The sequence below is a fragment of the Homo sapiens genome, chromosome 4, assembly GCF_000001405.40.
Source record: "Homo sapiens chromosome 4, GRCh38.p14 Primary Assembly".
NCBI lineage: Eukaryota > Metazoa > Chordata > Mammalia > Primates > Hominidae > Homo > Homo sapiens.
The window spans coordinates 105161186-105184211 of record NC_000004.12 but is presented as its reverse complement, the minus strand read 5'-3'; the positions used below and the strand labels follow the sequence as shown (position 1 = coordinate 105184211).

Below are 23026 nucleotides of genomic sequence, written 5' to 3'. Positions count from 1 at the left end.
TAGATATTTTTAAAAACCAAGATGGAAAACATTTCAGAAGAAAATACCCTATAAACATCACACAGAAAATGCAAAAAAAAATTCTGCATCTGAAACACAAACTTTTCACGACATTCTGACACTGGCTAATACTTGACCTCACTGGTCAGAGACTGGGCCAATGAAGGATGTGCTCAAAATCTTAACTTTGAAAAGCCTCTTAAGGGTATGGTTTATTTTTCATCCACTAAAATAGAAAATATAATTCTCTACAATAGACTTACCATTCCTAACATCCAGGCATTTTAGAGATCCCCGCTAGAAATTTCAAGTAGTATAGGAGAAGAAAGGAGTGAAAGGGGAAGAAAGGGGCAAAGAAAGGTAACTTGCATTGATTTTGATGCTTTAATAGTCATTTTCTTTTTCTTCACACAAGGAACTTCAGGTATTTGTGATTGTATTTGCGCGGCTGACTACAGGGCAATAATTCTATTGGGAGCTAGGTTTTTAGCTGAATCTCAGAATGTCTCTCCTGTAACTTCCATAAACCCACAGGCAAACTAAGGGGGTAGGCTGTAGAAGAGATAACAAAGTATAAATTAATCTTGGGTTCTAATTCTGACTCTAATCCTCCATAAATTCATGATCTTGAGCCGATCACTTAGGGAAACTGAGGACTAGAGAGCCTATAAGATGTTAAATTGTATTATTTCTGTTCCAACCCAGCTTTAAGGTTTTATGATTCCATGATTTAGATACTATCGAATTTGAGATAAAAAATATATATAGGAAAAAGAGTTATTGAAATGAATAGGTATAAAAACACAAGCAAAATTATATTAATGGAATTATTCTAAGTCTACTTGTGTGATATTAAGTTTATAAAAGGATATCCCTTACATTGTAATATATAACTATAATTGATAGCCACAATACTTATTATTGATTCCAAAGCAATTTTTACAATATATATTCTATTCCTTATATTTAGTAATTTAATATTACAAAATGATGTAATGGTTTCTGGGGAGTAATGAGTCTACTACCATGGTTCTCTTAGACTGAACTGCTAATTGCATCCATTTAAAACAGCCACAGATTGAGGATCAATAAACTGGTAGACTTTAAGTGCTTTTTAAAAACTGCTTCCAATCTATAGCATTAACCCAGATATTTTAAAAATGATTTTATTTTTCGTATTTTGGGGGGATAAGTATTAGGTATACATGAACCCTACCTTACAATTTCTTCAAAATGGATGGAAAGAATGAATTTTTAAATCACTTATGTCATAAATTATTTATAGCCCAAATATCTTCATCTAAGGATGCTTTAAGTCATATGACCTATATGAGCTAAGGTTTAAAGACATTACATTAATATCATGAATATAAACATCAAAGGATCAATTATAAAAATTCTAATGCTTAATGGGATGGCAAACTACAAAATAAAATTTTACACTATAGTATAAAGCTGCTGACATTTGATCAGTCACTATTTTTAAAAAAATTCCTTCAGTAACAATATTCTCTAATGTTCATTCTAAAAATTGAAACAAGGAAATTTTTATCTAATCTATTTCTAATAGAAAGGCAAATAAAAAATACTTTTTTAAAGATTTCAAAACGTATAGGAAAACTCTGCAGTTATGTTTACCTGGTTTGTTAAAAACAAACTATGCATTCTGCAAAATTGCAAGTGTCTACTTTTATCATAAGGTAATCTTAAAAGTAGTTTAGTAAACATCAAGTTACGACAAGTAGACGTCTCCCTTACCACACAGGAGTGATAATCAAAATATTTAACAGCTCATATGTCCAGGCATGAGACATAGTGCTGGAGGAGGATCCTAGAGGAACCTACATGCCATTTATTATTCTAGCTGCAGGATGGTGGGTAGACCCAGGGAGTAATGGGGAAGGAGCTATAGTGGCTTAGGGTAGCAGAATTACTAGCTACCTTGGAAATCTTTCAGTAACCATCAGCACAGCCACACTCATGTGCACCTGCTGCCTATCAGCTCTGGTTGTTTGCATGATTCTTAAATAAGGGATAAAAAAGTATTAAGCAACTGTTACAAGTCTTTGCAAATTACCATTTGTCACTGGAAAAAAATGTAACTATTAACTTTGGTTGTAGCCAGAGAACAAATGATAGGGAAAATTTGATAAAAGAAATAAAAATTTAAAGATGCAATATTTAAAAATGTTTTCGAATTATACATAAAATTACATAAAATATTTTCATAATATTAAAATTATATAAAAATGAAAGTATGAGGTTGAACTTTCAAGTAATAACCGAGATAACAGAATTTAAATACACTCCTCCCTAAATAAAGAAAGTAGTATAAAAAGCTATAAATTCAATCATACTTAAGGTTGGAGGGTAATATAAGTGAATCAGAAATCCAAATGAGTATTTTTATAACAAATTGTGACATAGTATTTTTCATCAAAGTAACTCATTATCACATTAAACTGGATTTTCACATCTTCGATTTCCTAGAAGGGGCTACACTATTGCTACTTACAAGTTGATTGCCTATGAATAAGCATATCATAATGCTCAAGAAATAGCATAAGTAAAAAATATTTGGGGCAGGGGTTACAGATGTAGGAGATTGTACAGAATTACACATTTTAAAGAAGTTTTAAACCATTTTTTATTTGCTAGATTTTCTAAGTGAAATATCTGAATCTAAAGAAAGAAGGAATTTGTTGTTGATTGTCCTGTGTTAAAAGGGATTAAAGTCGCTTAGCAACCTCTGTGTTGTAGAAACCAAGATAAAAGAAGAGTCGGTTGTCTATCACCAGCTCTTCTAAGATGGAAGAGTGCAAGTAAATAGAAAAGCACTATTTCTGCAGTGGTGCTTTGACATACATTCTTCATCACATGACAAAATAAAAATCATCAAGAAATTCCCAGGAAAAGGAAAATCCTCAAAAAGCATATTGTGACTAAATGGAGAATTTACAAACCACTACTATACAGACACACACAAAGACAAACACACACAATAACAAAAGACATGGCCAAGGAGTATATAGATCGTAGCTGAGAAAGGTAGACTGCATAGTAGAAACTTTGTTACAAAGGATTTAAAATATTCTAGATAGAAATATAAATGAGCATAAGAGTGATGATTTACAGAATCAGAGACTATTTTTAAACTTGGTTTTATAGAGGCAAACAAGGAATGAAGATTAAACTAGGACAGTACATAATTAGGGAAGGCAACTTCACATGGAGGGATATATTTGAGGATTTGAGTTAAAAGAAAGATAAAAGGGCCAGATGCAGTGCCTCACGCCTGTAATTCCAGCACTTTGGGAGGCTGCGGTGGGTGGATCACCTGAGGTCAGGAGTTCAAGACCAGTCTGGCCAACATCGTGAAACCCTGTCTCTACTAAAAATACAGAATTAGCCAGGTGTGGTGGCACATGCCTGTAATTCTAGCTACCCGGCAGGCTGAGGCAGGAGAATCGCTTGAACTCAGGAGGTGGAGGTTGCAGTGAGGCAAGATCGTGCTTCTGCATCCCAGCCTGGGCAACAGAGTGAGACTGTCTCCAAGAAAAAAAAAAAAATGATAAAATGGCAATATCAATTAGAACGTGAAATACTGTTTGTGACCATGGAGATCATGGAGAATATTTACGTTTTAGAAAGGTTTTTTAAGTGTCATGAGATTCTAAATGCAGTAAATAAGCTCTGAAATAAACATAATTTTGCTTCCTGGTAAAACAAAAAAAGATAAAACTTAAAAGAACTCAATAATTATAGAACACAATTGTATATATTTTATCTATCTACAACAGCCGAGAAGCACAGGCATGTAATAATTTGTATTTTCCTCCATGTATTAATGACTGAGATTTTGGAATATGAGGAAGTATTTTTAGACTAGGAATGAATCAAATCACCATTTTAATGTTATCACTGAGCAAAGTGGAGTTTGGCAAAAAGAAGCCACTGACTCTGCATTTAGAGAAGCTTGTCTGAAAAGTCCTTTATGCCAAGTTGACTCAGGTTCATAGGCCATGAGAAATCAATACTGAAAGTTTTGTCATTGATTTTGGATGAGAAACAAAGTGAAGGCTGGAACATCTAATTCCTTACACTTGAAGATGTGAAAGTGTCATTTCTATGATAGGTCAACAGCCAGCTGACCAGAAAGGCATAACTACTGTAACCTCCAAGAAAAAAAACAGTGAAAGAAGGGAGACAGACAAATGAACAACCCTTAGTAGGCACATTTTATTTCAGCTCAGTAGCCATTAAAAACCAGATACTCTGCATGCTAGAAAAACTTTCCTCTTGGGCATGACAAGTAATACTCCAGAACCTAATAGTGGGATAAACTTAATCATGCCTCACTAGGAATGCAGCTGCTTTAGAGGATCTCACTGTAGATAGTCTTCCAGTGGGATGTCAATCTTCCCTCAAACATGTGCCACTGAAATGACTTAATACTCTAGTGGTTTATGCCAGGTCAGGGTACACAGGTCACCTAGAGAGCCATGAATGAAGTCATGCATTATCAGAAAGCAGGTCAGAGGTGACACAAATCATCTAAGTGTAACAGCTGACTACAAATTACTTTCTATTATAAGCACTCATTTCCCAAATGAAGAGGATATTTTTCATTTTTTGAGGATAGATGGTGAAAAAAATCCTCACATAAAATGAAACAAGATTTTTTATCTTGAATAGTTTGAGAAAAAGGATGGAGTCTGTCTGTAGGTACATGAATTTGCCTTGTAGGCTTTGCAGTATCATTGGCATTGAATGAAGGCAACTGAATTATGCCCATGGACACTCATGGATATCCCCCATCACCTCCCCTATTTCTTTTAATGAAAGATTTGTGTTGATTCTTCATTGCAAACAAGGTTGTGGGTCAATTAAGGAGGAGACAAAGTTATTTTTCCTAACCAGAAATTGGAAAATGGAGGTCAAAAAGACAACTTGAAATGAAACACTATAGCACCCCATAAAAGAAAAGACATAGTTTTATCACTGATATGGTTAGGCTTTGTGTCCCCACCCAAATCTCATCTTGAATTATAATCCCCATAATCTCCATAATACCCATGTGTCAAGGCAGAGACCAGGTGGAAGTAATTGGATCATGGGGGCAGTTGCCCCCATGCTGTTCTCATCATAGGGAGTGAGTTCTCATGAGATCTGATGGTTTTATAAGTGTTTGGTAGTTGCTTCTGCGTTCATTTCTCCTTCCTGCCACTTTGTGAAGTCACCTGCCATGACTGTTAAGTTTCCTGAGACCTCCCCAGCCATGCTAAACTGTGAGTCAATTAAATCTCTTTCCTTTATAAATTACTCAGTCTCAGGCAGTACTTTATAGCAGTATGAAAATGAACTGATACATTCAACTAGTTTATTTTCTTTTTTATTAACATTTTTTCAGATTGCCTAAATTTATTTTATTATTATTATACTTTAAGTTTTAGGGTACATGTGCATTAAATTTTTTAACATTAATAAACTTTACAGTAAAATTGATTCACAGTAAAACAGTAGAAAGTTCCCATATACCCCTGTCCCCACAGACCCACAACCTTCCCCATTATCAACATCCCATACCAGAGTGGTATATTTGTTACAACTGATAAACCTACATTGATGCATTTTGATACCCAAACCCCATAGTTTACATTAGGGTTCACTATTGGTGGTTACATCCTACGTGTTTGGACAAATGTATAATGACATGGATCCACCACTATAGTATTACATAGATTCATTTCACTGCACTAAAAATTTGCCTATACATTCCTCCCTCTGGAAAACACTGCTCTTTTTACTGTCTCCATAATTTTGGCTTTTCCGGAATGTCATATAGTTGGAATCATACAGTATTTAGCCTTTTCGGATTAGCTTCTTTCACTTTATAATATGCATTTAAGTTTCATCCATGTCGTTTTATGATGTGATAGCTCATTTCTTAGTGCTGAATAATATTCTTACATCTGGATGTACCACAGTTTATCCACTCAAATATTAAAGGATATCTTGATTGCACCCAAGTTTTGGCAATTATGTAAAGCTGTTAAACAATGTGTGCAGGTTTTTATGTGGAGATAAGTTTTGTTTGTTTGTTTTTGTTTTTGCTTTTTTTTTTGAGATGGAGTTTTGCTCTGTCACTCAGGCTGGAGTGCAATGGCATGATCTCAGCTCACTGCAACCTCCGCCTCCTGGGCTCAAGTGATTCTCCTGCCTCAGCCTCCCTAGTAGCTGAGATTACAGGCGCACACTGCCACACCCAGCTACTTTTTTGTATCTTTAGTAGAGCTGGGGTTTCACCATGGGATTTCACCAGGCTGGTCTTGAACTCCTGACCTCAAATGATCCACCTGCCTGGGCCTCCCAAAGTGCTGCAATTACAGGCGTGAGCTACTGTGCCCGGCCAGGACATAAGTTTTCAAGTCCATACCAAGGAGCGCTATTGCTGAATCATATGGGAAGAGTATGTTTATTTTGTAAGAAACTGCCAAACTGTCTTCCAAAGTGACTATGCCATTTTGAATTCTTACCAGCAATGAATGAAGGTTCCTGTTGCTCCACATTCTCACCAGCACTTGGTTTCATCAGTGTTCTGACTTCAGCCATTCTAACAGGTATGTAGCGGTATCTCATTGTTGTTTTAATTTTCAATACCCTAATGACTATGATGTTTAACATCTTTTCCTATGCTTTCTTGACACTTGTGTATCTTCTTTGGTGAGTTGTCTGTTCAGGTTTTTTGCTCATTTTTTAAGTTGAGTTGTTCATTTTCAAACTGTTGAGTTGTAAGAGTTGTTTGCACATTGTGAACAATAGTCCTTTATGAGAAGTATCTTTTGCAAATAATTTTTCCATCTGTGGCTTGTCTTCTCATTCTCTTAATATTGTCTTTCACAGAGCAGAAGTTTTAAATTTTAGTTAAGTCCAGCTTGTCAATCATTTCCTTCATGTATCGTGCCTTTGGAGCTGTATCTAAAAAATGCCACTGCCATACCAAAGTCATCTAGGATTTTTCCTGTGTTATCTTCTGGGAGTTTTATAGTTCTGCATTTTACATTTAGGTCTATGATTCAAGTTAATTTTTGCAAAGGGTATAAGATCTGTGTTTACACTCAATTTGGATTTAAAAAATTTTTGTTGTTGTATGTTAATGTGTAGTTTTTCCAGCATTATTTGTTGAAAAGACCATCTTTGCTCCATTGTATTGCCTTTGCTCCCTTGTCAAAGATCATTTGATTATATTTACATGGGTTTGTTTGGGCTCTTTATTCTATTCCATTGGTCTATTTGAATATTCTTTCACCAGTACCCACTACATTGATTATCTGAGCTTTATAGTAAGCTTTAAAGCCAGGTAGTGTCAGTCCTCTGACTTTGTTGTTCTCCTCAAATACTGAGTTGGCTATTCTGCTCTTTTGCCTCTCCATATAAACTTTAGAATCCTTTTGTTGATATCCATAAAATATCGTGCTGTGTTTTTTAATGGCATTGCACTGAATCTATAGATCAAGTTGGGAAGAACTGACATCTTGACAATGAACATGTAACATCTCTTCATTATTTAGTTCACTGGTATTTTTCATTACACTTTTGTAGTTTTCTTCATATAGATCATGTACATATTCTGTTAGATTTATACAAAAGTATTTCATTTCTTGGGGTGCTAATGTAAATGGTAATGTGTTTTTAATTCAAATTACACTTGTTTATTGCTGGTATACAGGAAAGTGATTGGCTTTCTTTATATTAAGTTTGTATTCTGTAACCTTACAATAATCATTTATTAGTTCCAGTTTTCTTTTTTCTGATCCTTTGGATATTCCATATAAACAACTGTCATCCGTGAACAAAGACAGTTTGATTTCTTCCTCCGGAATCTGTATGCTTTTCATTTTCTTTCCTTTGTCTTATTGCATTAGGTAGCACTTCCAGTAGGAAACAAAGTGGTAAGAGGAGACACCTTTGTCTTGTTCTTGATCTTAGCAGGAAAGCTTTGAGTTTCTAAAAATTAAGTATGATGTAAACTGTAGGTTTTTTGTGTATTTTCTTTATCAAGTTGGGGAATACTACTATATCCCTAATTTTATTTTCCTTATGTGGATCTGAGTTTCTAACCTGTATCATTTTACCTCTCTCTAAAGAACTTTAAACATTTTTTGCAAGGGTGGTCCACTGGCAACAAATTCCTGAAATTTTTGTTTCTTTAAGACAGACTTTATTTCTTAACTTCTGAAGGACAATTTTGCAAGGTCCAGAATCGTACACTGCCGGATTTTTCTTTCAACATCTTAAATGTCTCACTCTACTCTCTTATTTGTATGGTTTATGAGGATATGTCAGATAAAATTTATTATTTTTGCTCCTCTATAGGTGTTTTTTCCTTCTGGATTCTTTCGATATTTTTTTAATCTTTGATTTTCTGAAGTTTGAATATAATATGCCCATGAGTAGTTTTGGGACATTTATCCTGCTTGGTGTTCTTTGAGCTCTCTGGAGAAGTAGTTTGGTGTCTGACATTAATTGGGGGAGATTTTCACACACTATTTCTTCAAATATTGCATCTAATCCTTTCTTTCTTTTTCTAGTATGCCCATTGCACGTACATTATACCTTTTGTAGTTCTCCTGCAGTTCTTGAATAATCTCTTCTGTTTTTTTCACAGTCTTTTTTCTCTTTGCATTTTAGTTTTGAAGTTCCTATTATCATATCCTTAACTTCAAAGATTTTTTCCTCGGCTATGTTCAATCTACTTATGAGCCTATCAAAGACATTTTAATCATTTCTGTACACTATGCTTGATACTTGGCATTTCTCTTTGGTTCTTTCCTAAAATTTCCGTCTCTATATTTACATTATCCATCTGTTCTTGTATGTCATTTTTTTAATCCCTCACCATATTAACCATAGTTTTTTATAAAGTTTCTGGTCTGATAATTCCAATGTCACTGCCATATTTGACTCTGCTTCTGATGCTTATTCAGTGTCTTCAAACTGCATTTCCTGCCTTTTAGCATGCCTTATAATTTTTTGGTTGAATGACAGACATGATATACTCAGTAAAAGAAACTGCTGCAAATAGGCTTTTAGTAATATGATAGTAAAAGGTGTGGGAAAGGGAAGCATTCTGTAGCCTTATAATTTGGTCTCCCTCTTTGGTGAAACTGTACCCATGGACTATGAACTTCACCAGTTTTCTCAGTTCCCCTAGGCCCCCTAACGTGGACAGGATGGTTTGAGTTGTCCAGAGTTATATATTTTCCTTTCCCTATGTGGAAAGCTAAAAGGGGGCTGAACTTAGGTATTTCCCTTCCCTTTGGGAGGTTACACTCTTATAAAATCCCAAAAGTTTAGGCTCTGGTAAAATAGTTTCACTTGAGAGCAGGCTTGAGTCCAACAAAATGCTCTGACATATTTCAAGATGGTTCCTTTTCTTCTCCCCTTAGGGAATTTTCTCCAGTAGTCACTGTGAACACTCCTGGAGGTTAAACTCACAAAAGTACAGGCCCTTCCGTAAGTGAGTCCTCCTGGAGTTTTTAACCCTCAGACTTGCCACACTGAACAACCGCCCACACTGAACAATTTTTCAATTACAGTTCATGTTTTCCTACCTGGCACCGGTTCCCACAAAAATTTTCCTTGTAGGTTTTTGCCCCACTAAGTTGTGATTCTTTCTATCTACCTGTCTGCTTCTCTAATATTTGATGCAGTGGTTTGCCCTATAATCTCATTTTTCTGACAGATCTAAGAAGATTCGTTAATTTTCCAATTCATTCAGCTTTTTACTTGTTGTGTTTTTAAAGAGTTTTTTGTTTTGTTTTGTTTTTTACTTTTTAACCATATGTCATCCCAGAAAAATATCGATCTTCTATTCCAAATAAATCTTAGGAAATACTAGTGGCAAGAAAATCTGTGATCATAGTCTACTTCTCAAAAAGGGTTGTTTTGCAATGTACAAATACATTTCTTTAGAAGAATGCAGTGATAAAATATCTTTTAAGATCTATCAAATTAAGGGATAGGCTTATCAAATTCATACATGTATTTGCTCTTTTCTAACTCTCTCTGATACCCCTAAAATTTTACTTATATATGAACAGTATAGCTATAGAACAAATTGAGGCTTTGGGTAGAAATATAATTAGCATACTAAGCTCATGTTTCTAATTGTTTTGTTAATATATATGTTGATAGGGACAGCTATGGTCCTTTGAAGTCATTGCTACCTACTCTTTTAAGAAATACATACATCATTTTTGCATGCATGGGTAAAATATATATTTCCTCACATATATCTACCTAAGTCAATATTTTATTAAACTGAAGTCTTAAAGAAGTCTCAAGATTTTTCTCAACCAATATTAATCTCCATTAGATTATAATCTTGTTTATATGTCACTTTGTTAACAGGAATTCTAAGAATATGAGCCTAATTTTATAAATGTTTTAATTTACCATGTAATAAATATTTGAATAAATGGGTTCCTGGCCTGCATTTGCTGAGTAGTAGAGAAAACAAATCAGCAAACCCCTTTTTTCCTCATGTCATCACCTTTGCATTCTTGTAGCAAATTATGTCATTTTCAAAACTAGAATTTCTTTATTTCCTTTATTGACTAAAATGACTCATTCTTCTCTGCAGTTTTTTAGTAAGATTGAGTCTTTTTTGTTTGTTTGAGAGAGAGTCTCCCTCTTTTGCCCAGGCTGGAGTGCAGTGGTGCAATCTTGGCTCACTGCAACCTCCACCTCCTGGGTTCAATCGATTCTCCTGCCTCAGCCTCCCAAGTAGCTGGGACTACGGGAGCACACCACCATGCCGGGCTAGTTTTGTTTTTTTTTTTTTTTGTATTTTTAGTAGAGACGGGTTTTCACCATATTGGCCAGGCTGGTCTCAAACTCCTGAGCTCGTGATCTGCCCACCTCGGCCTCCCAAAGTGCCGGGATCACAGGCGTGAGCCACCACACCCAACCAAGATTGAGTTGGAACTTATCGTTTTGGTAACTGGCACACAGCAGATGGAAATTTTATGCACATTTTCCTCTTAGAAACTAAGGATAGGTAAACTTTTTATCCTTTGTGTTGGCATGCAAGAATAAATTTCCTCTTAAGAAGAAAATTTATATTGTTGAGAGGTCTGAGAAGCAAATACTTTTTCATATTTTCTATTCTCTAAAGGGATATTTAAAATTTGGTTTATAAAAATAAAACTAATTTGCTTTCTGCTCTGAAAAATAGTATCATTGTATAATAAGAGAGTAGCAGCATAGCCAACTTGGAAAAAGCTGTTAATTGCCCATATCAATTTCATTACCAAAAATATGTCATCTACTAGAATACTTCTGATGAATACTCTTTCCTCACTGAAAGATTTTCTTTTTAAGTTGCTTAAAGAGTTAATCAGTTAATCAGTTTCAAGTTGTAAGACCATTAGTATTCTCATTATATGACAAACATTACAGAAAGTATACAAACAATCTGCAAGAAACCTTGAATTCAACTTTCATAGTTCTGAAATGTTTCTCATAAACATACAGGCATTTGAATGGAACACTATTTTTTTCATTGAAAAAAATTAACAAGGTCACTTACAAAATGCAATGTAACAAATACCGTTGACCTTAAAATACAGGTTTGAACTGCATGGACTGCTTATATGTGAATTTTCTTCCACTTCTGCCACCCCTGGAACAGCAAGACCAACCCATCCTTTTCCTCCTCTTCTTCAGCATACTCAAGGTGAAGACAACAAAGGATGAAGATCTTTATGATGATCTACTTCCATTTAATAAATAGTAAATATATTTTCTTTACCTTACGATTTTCTTAATAACAGTTTCTTTTCTCTAGCTTAGTTTATTGTAAGAATATAGTACACAATACATATCATAGAAAATATGTGTTAGTCAACTGTGTGTGTTATCAGCAGGGCCTCCAGACAACAGCAGGCTATTAGTAGTTAAGTTTTTGGGGAGTCAAAAATTACATGTGGATTTTTGACAGTGCAGGGGGTTGGTGCTCTTAACCTCCATGTTATTCAAGGGTCAACTGTATTTATTTAAGGTCTGTGATGCATTGCAAATAGACACACACACACGCATCCCTACTTTGCTGAGCTCAAAGTTCAGTGAAATTTCACAGAATGTTATCTTGCCCAGGTCCTTCATTTTATAGATGAAGAAACAGTAGGCTTTCTCCCCAGTACCACATGAAAAACCAAGGATATAATCTAAAGACAACCTTGACTTTTTGCTATACCAAATATATACCAATTCTATCTTACCTGTCTGAGAAATGCATGCTATGGACATATGAAGGTGATGATAAATCTTGGAAGATTAGGAAATAGGCTTCCAAAGCAGATAAAGGCAGGCATATGAAAATGAATAATGCAATCTGGAAGAAAGAGAATAGTCTGTTTCTGTAGGTTTACCCACAGCTATTTTAAATTTGTTGCTTCACCTTCTTCACCATCCCAGGTACTATATTGTACATTCCACTGTAAATGAGCAAACATTACACTGGCAGCAGGGACCAGCATCCTTTATCAAGAGGCAGTTGTAGCTCAAGAGTTGCATCTTGGTAGCATCAATACAGAATTTAAGGATTACAGAAGATATCTCAGTAAGTTACACTACTGGTTTGAAGAAAACTGTTTTGACCTCTAATTTTTTCTCTTATTCTAATCTTCCTGTCATTTTTTAAAGAACAAAAGATGGCCTGTGTTATCTTATTTGGTTATATGATTACATATTATTATGATCAATAACATATATTAAAACTTATTAATCAATGCTTCTTTAATTTCAGAAAGTTCTCTATACTTGGAAGAAAAATAAAGAACGATTTGCACTTCATTTCCTTAGCATGGAGTAGAGCATTAATCATTATCATTTTTTCATGCCACTAAATCTTTGCAATGATAATTCTTTAATAGTATTGGTCTACATCCACTAGATAAACATTATAGGCTTATAATGTGCCAGGCACTGTGCTAGACACTGGAGATAACACTTTGAATAAAACAGAAATGGAACTCCCATCATGGAGCTCAGAAATAACACTGAAATGCTCCTGGATTTTGAGCCAGCAATAACAGCAGGAAGAAAACTGCACTCAAAACACTATGAATTTATTTCCGCCATTTAAAAAAAAAGAATGAAGAAGGTATTTCAAATCCAGAAAAGATATTTTCTCATCATGATAGCAGATGTTAAAGATATTGGAAACAGTGCAATTTCTCCTAGTGTAGAAGGAGGAGGAAGTTGGTAGACACACAGCTGAAATAAAGGAAGCAGAAGGAAGAACACAGGCAGTGCTCATCTTGCAGGAGGCTTGAGCACCCTAAGTCTATTTATAAATCAGTTGTTCAAAACTAACAAGTAGTGTCGCACATCATGTTTATATTTTGAGGTAGCCGCAACAGCCTTTTAAATGCACAATGTAATTGAAACACTAGCATCGGAAAAGAGTACAGTTGCCAATATAAATGGTATTTTAGTGACCAATGTTTCCTCGGCTCCAGAAGCTCCTGGAAGATTGTCTCAGCTATTCCTCATGGATCCAAAAGCCTAATTTCACCTATAAATAATCAATGGATATTTTATCTATCTTCAATTTCCAATGAGGATAAATCAGCAGAGAAAAGACAACACTGGCAGCCTTAAAGAGAAAAGCAGTAAAAATAAGATTATTTCATTGCCATTTTTTTAAAGAGATGGGTTCTCACTGTGTTGACCAGGCTACAATGCAGCAGCTATTCACAGGCACAATCATAGTGCACTACAACCCCAAACTTTTGAGACTCAGGCAATCTTCCTGCCTCAGCCTTCAGAGTAGCTGGGACTATAGTCATTGCCATTTTAGAAACCATTTTCATTCACTGCAACTTTCACCAAATATTTATTGAGTGCTCACCATGTGCTAGCCACTGTTTGGTATGCTGACAATACATGTCAGTGACCCAAACAATGTTCCTCATCTCATAGAACTCACATCTACTGGAGAAAGCAGACAATAAAAATTGTTTAAGAAAAGCAGAAACACTTTGCCAAGGGTTGATAAACTATGCAATTCCCATCAAAATACCACCATCATTCTTCACAGAATTAGGAAAAACAATTTTAAAATTCATATGAAAACAAAAAAGAACCCACAGAGCCAAAGCAAAACTAAGCACAAAGAACAAATTGGGCAGAATCACATTACCTGACTTTATACTAGAAGGCCATAGACACCAAAACAGCATGGTACTGGTATAAAAATAGGTACAGAGACCAATGGGGGGATAGAGAACCAAGAAAGAAACCCACATACTTACAGCCAACTGACCTTTGACAAAGCAAACAAAAACATAAATTAGTAGGTAAAGGACACCCTATTCAACAAATGGTGCTGGGATAGCTGGTAAGCCACATATAGAAGAATGAAACTAGATCCTCATCTCTCACCTTATATAAAAATCAACTCAAGATGGATCAAAAACTTAAATCTACGTGCTGAAACTATAAAAATTCTAGAAGATAACATCAGAAAAACCCTTCTAGACATTGGCTTAGGTAAAGACTTCATGACCAAGAACCCAAAAGCAAATGCAACAAAAACAAAGATAAATAGGTGAGACTTAATTAAACAAAAGAGCCTCTGCACAGCAATAGGAACAGTCAGCAGCGTAAACAGACAACCCACAGAGTGGGAGAAAATCTTCACAATCTATGCATCCGGCAAAGGACTAATATCTAGAATCTACAAGGAACTCCAACAAATTAGCAAGGAAAAAAACAAACAATCCTATCAAAAAGTGGGCTAAGGACATGAATAGACAATTTTAAAAAGAAGATATACAAATGACCAACAAACATATGAGAAAATGTTCAATATCACTAATGATCAGGGAAATGCAAATCAAAACCACAATGCAATACTTTACTCCTGCAAGAACGGCAATAAAAAATCAAAAAATAGTAGACGTTGGCATGGATATGGTGAACAGAGAACACTTCTACACTGCTGGTGGGAATGTAAACTAGTACAGCCACTATGGAAAACAGTGTGGAGATTCCTTAAATAACTAAAAGTACAACTACCATTTGATCCAGCAATCCCACTACTGGGTATCTACCCAGAGGAAAAAAGTCATTATATGAAAAAGATACTTGCACACACATTTATAGCAGCACAATTTGCAATTGCAAAAATGTGGAACCAACCCAAATGCTCGTCAATCGGTGAGTAGTTAAAGAAACTGTGGTATATTTATAAGATGGAATACTACTCAGCCATAAAAAGGAATGAATTAATGGCATTTGCAGTGACCTGGATAAGACTGGAGACTATTATTCTAAGTGAAGTAACTCAGGGATGGAAAACCAAACATCATATGTTCTCACTCATAAGTGGGAGCTACGCTATGAGGATGCAAAGGCATAAGAATGACACAATGGACTCTAGGGACTCAGGGGAAAAGGGTGGGAAGGGGGTGAGGAATAAAAGACTACGAATAGGGTGAAGTGTATACTGCTCGGGTGATAGGTGCACCAAGATCTCACAAATCACCACTAAAGAACTTACCCATGTAACCAAATACCACCTGTTCCCCAATAACCTATGGGAATAAAAAAATAAAATTTTAAAAAAAAAGAGAGAAAATAAAGCAAGGTCAATAGTCAGAGTTCTGTTAGATAGAATGGTTAGGGAATTTATCTCTGAAAAAGTAACACTCAAGGAGAGATTAGAAGGAAAGATAGAAACAATACCTGTGGCTCTCTGAAGGAAGGGTGCTCCAGGAAGAGGGAACAGCAAGTGCAAAGGCCTGGAGGAAAAAGGATGCTCTTCTTGTTGCCAGGACAGCAAGAAAACCAAGGAAATTAGAATAGAATGAGGGAGAATAGTGGCAAGAAATGGAATCAGAAACACAAATAGCAGCCAATTCACTTGAGGACTGGTGGGTCATGAAAAGGGCTTTGGCTTATATTCTGAGTGAAACAGAGACCCATTAATGGTTTTAAGCAGAGGAGAGGCATGACCTGACTTAATTTTTAAATGATCACTTGAATTTTTGTTTGGGTAAAAACCCACGGTGAGGTAAGAAGGGGGAGCAAAGCTAGAAACAGGGAAACCCATGACAGGGAAACTGCACTTTTCAAAGTAACACATGAAGGTGGTTTGAATGGAGATGGAAATTGGTGAAATGGTGTGAAGTAGTCAGATCCTGAATATACTTTACAGGTAGAGTCAACAGAACATGTTGGAGGATCAGTTATTCCTTTTCTCTCTGTTGTTTCTAGTGTTTCCTTCATTCCTTAAAGCTAGGCAAGATTACGTCCTTACGGGTTTCACATTTATTTTTAAAGACTGTTAAGCAGTGGGAAATGATGACATTTAAGTTTTATCTCCTTTTCTATTACCTGTTATTGAACAGCAAGATAGGTAAAAGATATGAAGACAACCAAAGAATCTCCAAGGGCCCAGAAATGAAAATAGTTACACCTTAGATCTGTACAGGATGAACTGCTACTGCTAGGACTATTAGCACAGTCACTGACTATGCCTGGGCACTGTAATACTAAAGCATTATTATTGAGGGCTTAATAAACAACCATACACACCAAGTTCTGAAAATTAGTCAGTCATGAACTCTAGCACTGTTATTTTTAAAAGGGGAGCAAATAAAGTACAGTGAAACTATTATATACATATTTTTTCTTTGTACATATACATGTATATAGATATACTACATGTGTATATACATACATACACACATATACTACATGTACATATACTACATATACATGTATATGTAGCATATGTGTACACATATACACGCATATGTATATGTGTACACATATACGCACTTTTCTTAAGTTTAGTTGTATTGTTTTTAGATATAGTTAGGTAAAATTTAATTTTCTTTGTTTGCCTAATTTTCCCACAAAATTTAATACATTTTATATGATTTGAGCCACGAAATAGGCTACCATTAAAAAGAATCAATCAGAGAATAGAAAATGGACTTCTTGGAAATTAAATTTCAATTAACAAAAATATCAAAAGTTGAGAAAATAAAATATACAGAGATAAACAGATGAAAAATATGTGATGGAATTTAATAAATAAGAAAAATCAGTTCACAAGTTCTAATGCACCATTAACATGAGTTTCATAAAGATAGGGTGAAAAAAAGAAGGAAGAAATAATCAAAGGTACAATGGAAGAAAAGTACCTTAAGCTAAATAAAGGCAGTTGTTTCCAGATTGTACAGAATCATCAAGTGCTGAGAAGAATACATTTTAACAGAGCCATATCTGGAGGAATTTCAGAAGTGAAAAGATAAAGATCCTAATAAACATATGAATAGGGAAAAAAGTTATCTAAAAAAGACAGAATCAGACTGGCATCAGATATCTATCTCATAAGCAATCCTAGATGAAGGGTAACAACGTACCAATGTTTCCCAAGCTCTGAGAGAAAATTACTTTGAATTTATGGTTCTAATCACAATAATTTATGAATGTACTATAAGGAAAAATATAAGGCATTTTGGACATGTAAAGACTCAGCACAATATTTGTAAAAACCCCTGTTTTTTTTTCTTTTTTTTTCTGTAAGAAGAAAAACAGTAGTAAAAAGAAAAATAATAATCAAATACAAAGACATGAGACTAAAGCAATAATAGACATAGCCAGGAGAAAAATGAGAAGAAACTCTAAATTAGAACAGAAAAATCAGACTTCAAGAAGAAAGTGTATTTCATTCATCAAATGGTATAATTAAGAAATCTGAAAAAAAATTGTGATATGATGAAAATGTTTCTTCTGTCAACAAGAATAAAAAAATGCAATTAAAATTTTCAAGAAAAATTGAATGCTTACAGGAAAATCTAAGTCCAAATGTGAAAGAAACAAAAATGTGGCATAATTTTGAGGAACTGAAAGAATTTAGCAAAAGGGAATCCATTTTACCCTAATGCTTAAAGTAGCATCCTTAGAACAAGCTAAATTTTAGTGTCACAGGATCACTTTTTCCTTTTCTACATGTTCAACCATACTGCTAGGTGTTACAGTGAATTTTATTTATTACAATCATGGCATTGTAAGTGATGTGTTTTCTTTTTCAATTAGCACTGAGAAATGAAGCACAAGAGAATTAACTATAGATGCAAACCAGAATATAAATATTATAAATTTAGCAATAAGAAGTAATGATATGGAATACAGGAGTTGACAGAAGGCAGGAAAAGAAAAGTAGCTGGAATTGAAGAATATTAACTTTCACATCTTACATAGTAGAGACTCAGAAAGGTATGGTCTGACACTGATAAACAATTTTTTAAAGCAATGCATTATTGTGGGTAAGAATAATAAAGGCATACTTAAGATTGTAGTATTTAAAATAGTTTTGTTACCATGCTCCTATACATTTTGAAAAGTCACTGTGGAAACTAAGCAACCAATCAAACATTTCATTTTGTGTTCTGTATTTCCCTAAATGCAGACTTAGAAAGGTACTCAAGAGTATCCCAACTTATACATGGCAATAATCATCAGTAAGTGTTATTGAGGGTCTGCTATTCATTTGCTTGCGTGATAATTGTTGTGGGAAATTCAATAGATATACATGATATGATCCTAGTTCTCAAAGAAACTTCAATTTCAATGAAAGCAGTTTCTGACACATAAATAATGTATTTTTAAACCGTTAACTATTTTGAGACACTCAAAAACATCTTTCACATGGGCCTAAAATTTCATGACACTGCCATGTAAGGAATTTCCACTCTCACAGGAAGCTCCTGATTAGCACACCAAGACAATTATTTTTTATTTTTATTTTTTGGGAGACGAAGTCTCCCTCTGTCACCCAGGCTGGAGTGCAATGGCACGATCTCAGCTCACTGCAACCTCTGCCTCCTGGGTTCAAGTGATTCTCGTGCCTCAGTCTCCTGAGTGGCTGGAATTACAGGCGCCCACCACCACGCCTGGCTAATTTTTGTATTTTTTGGTACAGACGGGGTTTCTCTACGTTGGCCAGGTTGGTTTCAAACTCCTGACCTCAGGTGATCTGCCCGCCTCGGCCTCCCAAAGTGCTGGAATTACAGGTCTGAGCCACCACACCCGGCTATCATCTATCTTTAAGCAAGGTATGCCAAAATGTTGTCTCTTCTTCCTGAAAATATGATACAAAATAGAGGAAAAACAGTAATATCTATAGTCCTTAGTACTTTTTAAATCATGCCTGCTATCATTTAATATTTCTATGGACAAATTTGTATCTTTTCATTGTATCTAATAAAGACAATAAAGGATGATCATGAAAGGATGGTACTATGAGCTCATAATATATATCTTGATTGAAACAATAAAAGGGATGGAAGTAATCCTTCATCTCTTCCCCCTTGAGCCAATCTTCAGAGGCTGTGCTGTTACACTTGTGCAATCTCCCTGTCAGGTCCCAATACTGAGAAAGCTATGCCAACTCTGGCGCCTATTCAGGCAACTGGGAATTCACACCTTTTGAGCAGAGGCTGGAAGCATCCTGGGAAATTCCTCAACTGACCAGTCTATGAGTCCTATAATTTTCATCTCATTATGCTTTAAAAAAAGATCAAAGCATTGATTATTTCCTATGAGCCTGTATATTCCAGAAGGGTAAAGATGATGGCTCTCTTCTTGCCTGATACATAGATGCTCAACACATGCTTGAAGAATAAACAAATATTTATTCAATCACTACAATTTTGCCAAGTAACATGCTGGATGTTTTATTTATGTTACTTCATCTGATCCTCTCAGTAATCCATGAGATAAGAATTATTAGTTGTTCTCATTTTACAGGTAGAGAAGCAGATTCACAAATGCTAAGGCAACCTGAATATGACATACACAGCTAATAAAAAGGAAAGTCAGGATGCTAAATTAGATCTTCCTATTGCATGATCTCACTTATATGTGGAATCTAAAGAAGTCGAACTCATAAACGCAGAGAGTAACATGGTGGTTGCCATGGGCTGGGTAGTAGGGGAAATAGGTTTGTCAAAGGATACACAGTTTCAGTTATGCCAGATGAATATTTAATACATTCTGGAGATCTAATGTACAGCATGGTGACTACAGTTAGTACTGTATGGTATCCTTGACTACATTTGAGTAGCTCTTAAGTGTTCTCACCGTAAACACAAAAAATGACTGAGAGGTGATGGACATGTGAATTAGCCTGATAGTAATAATCACTTCACAATGTATATTAAAACATCACACTGTATCTCTTAAATGTGTACAGTTTTGTGGACTGTTTACTTGTCAATTATACCTCAACAAAGCTGGAACACACACACACACACACACACACACACACACACTCTCTCTCTCTCTCTCTCTCTCTCTCTCTCTCTCTCTCTCTCTCTCTCGAAACTTTCGAGCTCCAAACACCAGACTGCTTGTTGGCATCCAACTGTTTAAGAGTTGATTTACATTGATTACGAACAAAGAGACAATGGAGATTTGCAAATAGGGAGATGATGCCAAAGATAATTCAAAATTTATAGGGAAGTTATTTAACCCCATGTCTTGGTTTCTTCCTTAGTAAAGTGAGGAGAGTAATAGCACCAACAAAAATATAGATGACATAAGAATTAGATAATCTTTGGAAAGTGCTTAGCATGGTACTTAACCCAACATAAGAACTTAATCAATAGTAGCTATTATTAGAAATATACATAGCTTGTTACGCTATTTGAGGCAACTGACTTTACTTTCCCATGCCTCCATTTTCTCATCTGTAAATGCAAGGAATGGGGTTACTGAGTCTCTAAAGTCCTTTCAGCTTGTAGCAATCCATGATTCTATGTTTGAAAATAAACTATGTTTTTGATGAAGTGTTTATTGAAATACTGGAGTGAAAGTGGTGGCAATCCAGGTGGCAATGTCTTATAAGCAGTTAGAAACAGCTCTAGTTTACAAATCTAGATCTAAAATATAAAAATATATTCAAACACACACATACATACACAGAATTAAATCTATAATTCAGGGAAAAAGATGAAAAGCTCAAAAAAGGTAGATTAAAAAGTCTGATAATTTGTTACAAGTAGGAAAAAGTTTAAAATACATATTTAAAATGTTCATAATTTGTGACAGAAAATTTATTCTTCACTGAAAAATTTATAGTCTCCTGATTTTTACTTTTTTTTCTCATCCTTTTAGGCAATTATCCATGCTAAGCACAGCTGCTGGTGTTTAGTTCAATAAATACCACTAGTTTATCATTGCATATTTCCCAAAATTACTTCTCACCTTTTCTTTCTCTTTATCATTAATCTATCACACAAAAGGGGATTTTCTCCCCGTATTATTGCAGATATAGGCTCTTCAATAGAATCCTAATGTTAAGCAAAATAGTTCTATACAAACAGTGATTTTGGGAAGTATTTCTATATGTAATAGGAATGGCATGTTTTCAAAAATAAAATGTAAATAATAAACACTTAAAAAAAAGAAAATGCAGCTCTTGCTCCAACTGTTTCTATGAAGGCATGCAGCAACATTATTAGAGATGGTTAAGTTACTACACTAGCTTCTAAAAGAGTTTGAGTCAGCTTGGTTATGAAAGAGAGTAACACTCCTCAGGGCTTGTCACCTTCAGTTCTTGAATACTAAAGTGCCTACTTGCTTGTCAGGGTTAAAAGCTACTATTTTAAGTTCAAAGTGAAAAGCTCCTTTCAGGTGATAATGATAGTTTAAAATAAACAGTGTGGGGCAGGGAAAAGCCTCCTTTAGGCATCTACCATGTTTCCCCTGCAGTCAGGCCAGTGCTTTCTTATTCTGTATCAGTATTCATGATCCAGGTCATTAAACAGTTAGTAAGATAGACACCACTCTTTCTCCCTGTATCCCACTGATAAACAACTGCAGGCTTCAGAATTCTGGAGCTGTGTGTAAATATGAAAGCTCCATGTGTTTGACCATGTGGGAAGGCATTAGGGTAACCTGGGACTCCTATGCAAGAGAGAACTCCCTTGCACGAATGTTATCATCACCAAGCAAGCTGTTTGTTTTGTGTGTGTGTTTGGTGCCTCAGCTGTCTTCTACAGGAACCATATAAAAACAGTTTATACAAAAGACCCCAAGGATTCTGTGCACTTTCAACATATTAGGGAAAATGCAAGATATCAGTATTTTTTCATTTTATATTTATAGACAGAAACTTTTACTATAGTCTATTTAACCATTTCTACCAAAGAGGATTCAGCTTAAATATGAAAAGTTCAAAACACATACACACCACATACACACACTTAGTAGTAACTGAAAAAAGACGAACAGCCTAAAATTTCCACATTGCTCCTTGGTATGCATCAGATTCAATCTACCATTCTGATATTTTATAATACACAGACAACTGTCACTCAGTCTCATCTTTATGAAGACAGCCTATGCATTGAATAAGTCAATGTTTATTGCATGCTTGCCCCTTCAAGTGAAACTACAGTACAGCCAAATGAAAGTTCTATTTGAATCCCTTTTTTAGTAGAAATTAACTTATAGCCTTAATCAAATTCTGAGCACTTGCAGCTTATATCCATATATGATTTACTGTGAAACAAAGGTCCGAGAAAGAGGGAAAATATTAATATTCTAATATAAGATAGGATGATTTTTGTTAAAGCTCGAGAGTGTTCAGTAATGGCTCTGCTCTGTGCAGGAAAAGTATACTCATAAGTAATTTCACCCAAGCTTTTACTATTTAGGCCGAGGATAATTGAGAGAAATACATCATTTATAGTCCGACACTAAAAAAGCAAGTAGATAAATCACGCAAATAAGAACTTTTAAAAATCTACAACCTACTCTCATCGCATCTTAATTCAGTGTATCAGAAATGTACAATAAATTATAAGTAATAAACACTAAAGAAGTAATATCTTTTCATATCCAGAAGGCTGCTTTTGCTCTGCAACAGAATGAAAAAATATCTATCCTTAGATTTTATTGTTAGTTAAATAAGTCACTCTTTTGGTAATTTCCTCTA

General features: G+C 35.0%; 2 protein-coding genes and 1 long non-coding RNA gene across 15 annotated transcripts in view, besides 1 other annotated feature; 2 read left to right on the top strand and 1 right to left on the bottom strand.

The window, feature by feature from the left end:
- TET2-AS1 (TET2 antisense RNA 1) overlaps positions 1-12858 on the top strand; it is a 181528-nt gene extending 168670 nt beyond the window's left edge. Inside the window, exons 3-6 of the long non-coding RNA NR_126420.1 lie at positions 6540-6620; positions 11634-11796; positions 12481-12625; positions 12812-12858. This is a non-coding gene — a long non-coding RNA (TET2 antisense RNA 1). The remainder of the gene's footprint in view (positions 1-6539; positions 6621-11633; positions 11797-12480; positions 12626-12811) is intronic.
- TET2 (tet methylcytosine dioxygenase 2) overlaps positions 1-23026 on the bottom strand; it is a 133929-nt gene that overhangs the window by 95592 nt on the left and 15311 nt on the right. Inside the window, exon 2 of one of the 13 annotated variants that reach the window (XM_024454102.2) lies at positions 12285-12397. The exons of the other annotated variants lie outside the window; for them this stretch is intronic. The gene's annotated coding sequence lies outside the window, so the exon portion shown is untranslated. The remainder of the gene's footprint in view (positions 1-12284; positions 12398-23026) is intronic. 13 annotated transcript variants of the gene reach the window in all.
- Positions 13202-23026, top strand: part of LOC124900868 (uncharacterized) — a 33749-nt gene continuing 23924 nt past the window's right edge. The window contains exon 1 of the mRNA XM_047416559.1: positions 13202-13265. Coding sequence (XP_047272515.1) covers positions 13202-13265 — 64 coding nt within the window. The remainder of the gene's footprint in view (positions 13266-23026) is intronic.
- Positions 21458-22166: an enhancer, noted in NCBI's record as "OCT4-NANOG hESC enhancer chr4:106083203-106083911 (GRCh37/hg19 assembly coordinates)". NCBI's record gives its function as "activates a minimal SCP1, AML or CMV promoter by ChIP-STARR-seq in naive H9 embryonic stem cells {active_cell/tissue: H9 hESC(naive)}" and the evidence as "EXISTENCE:reporter gene assay evidence [ECO:0000049][PMID:30033119]".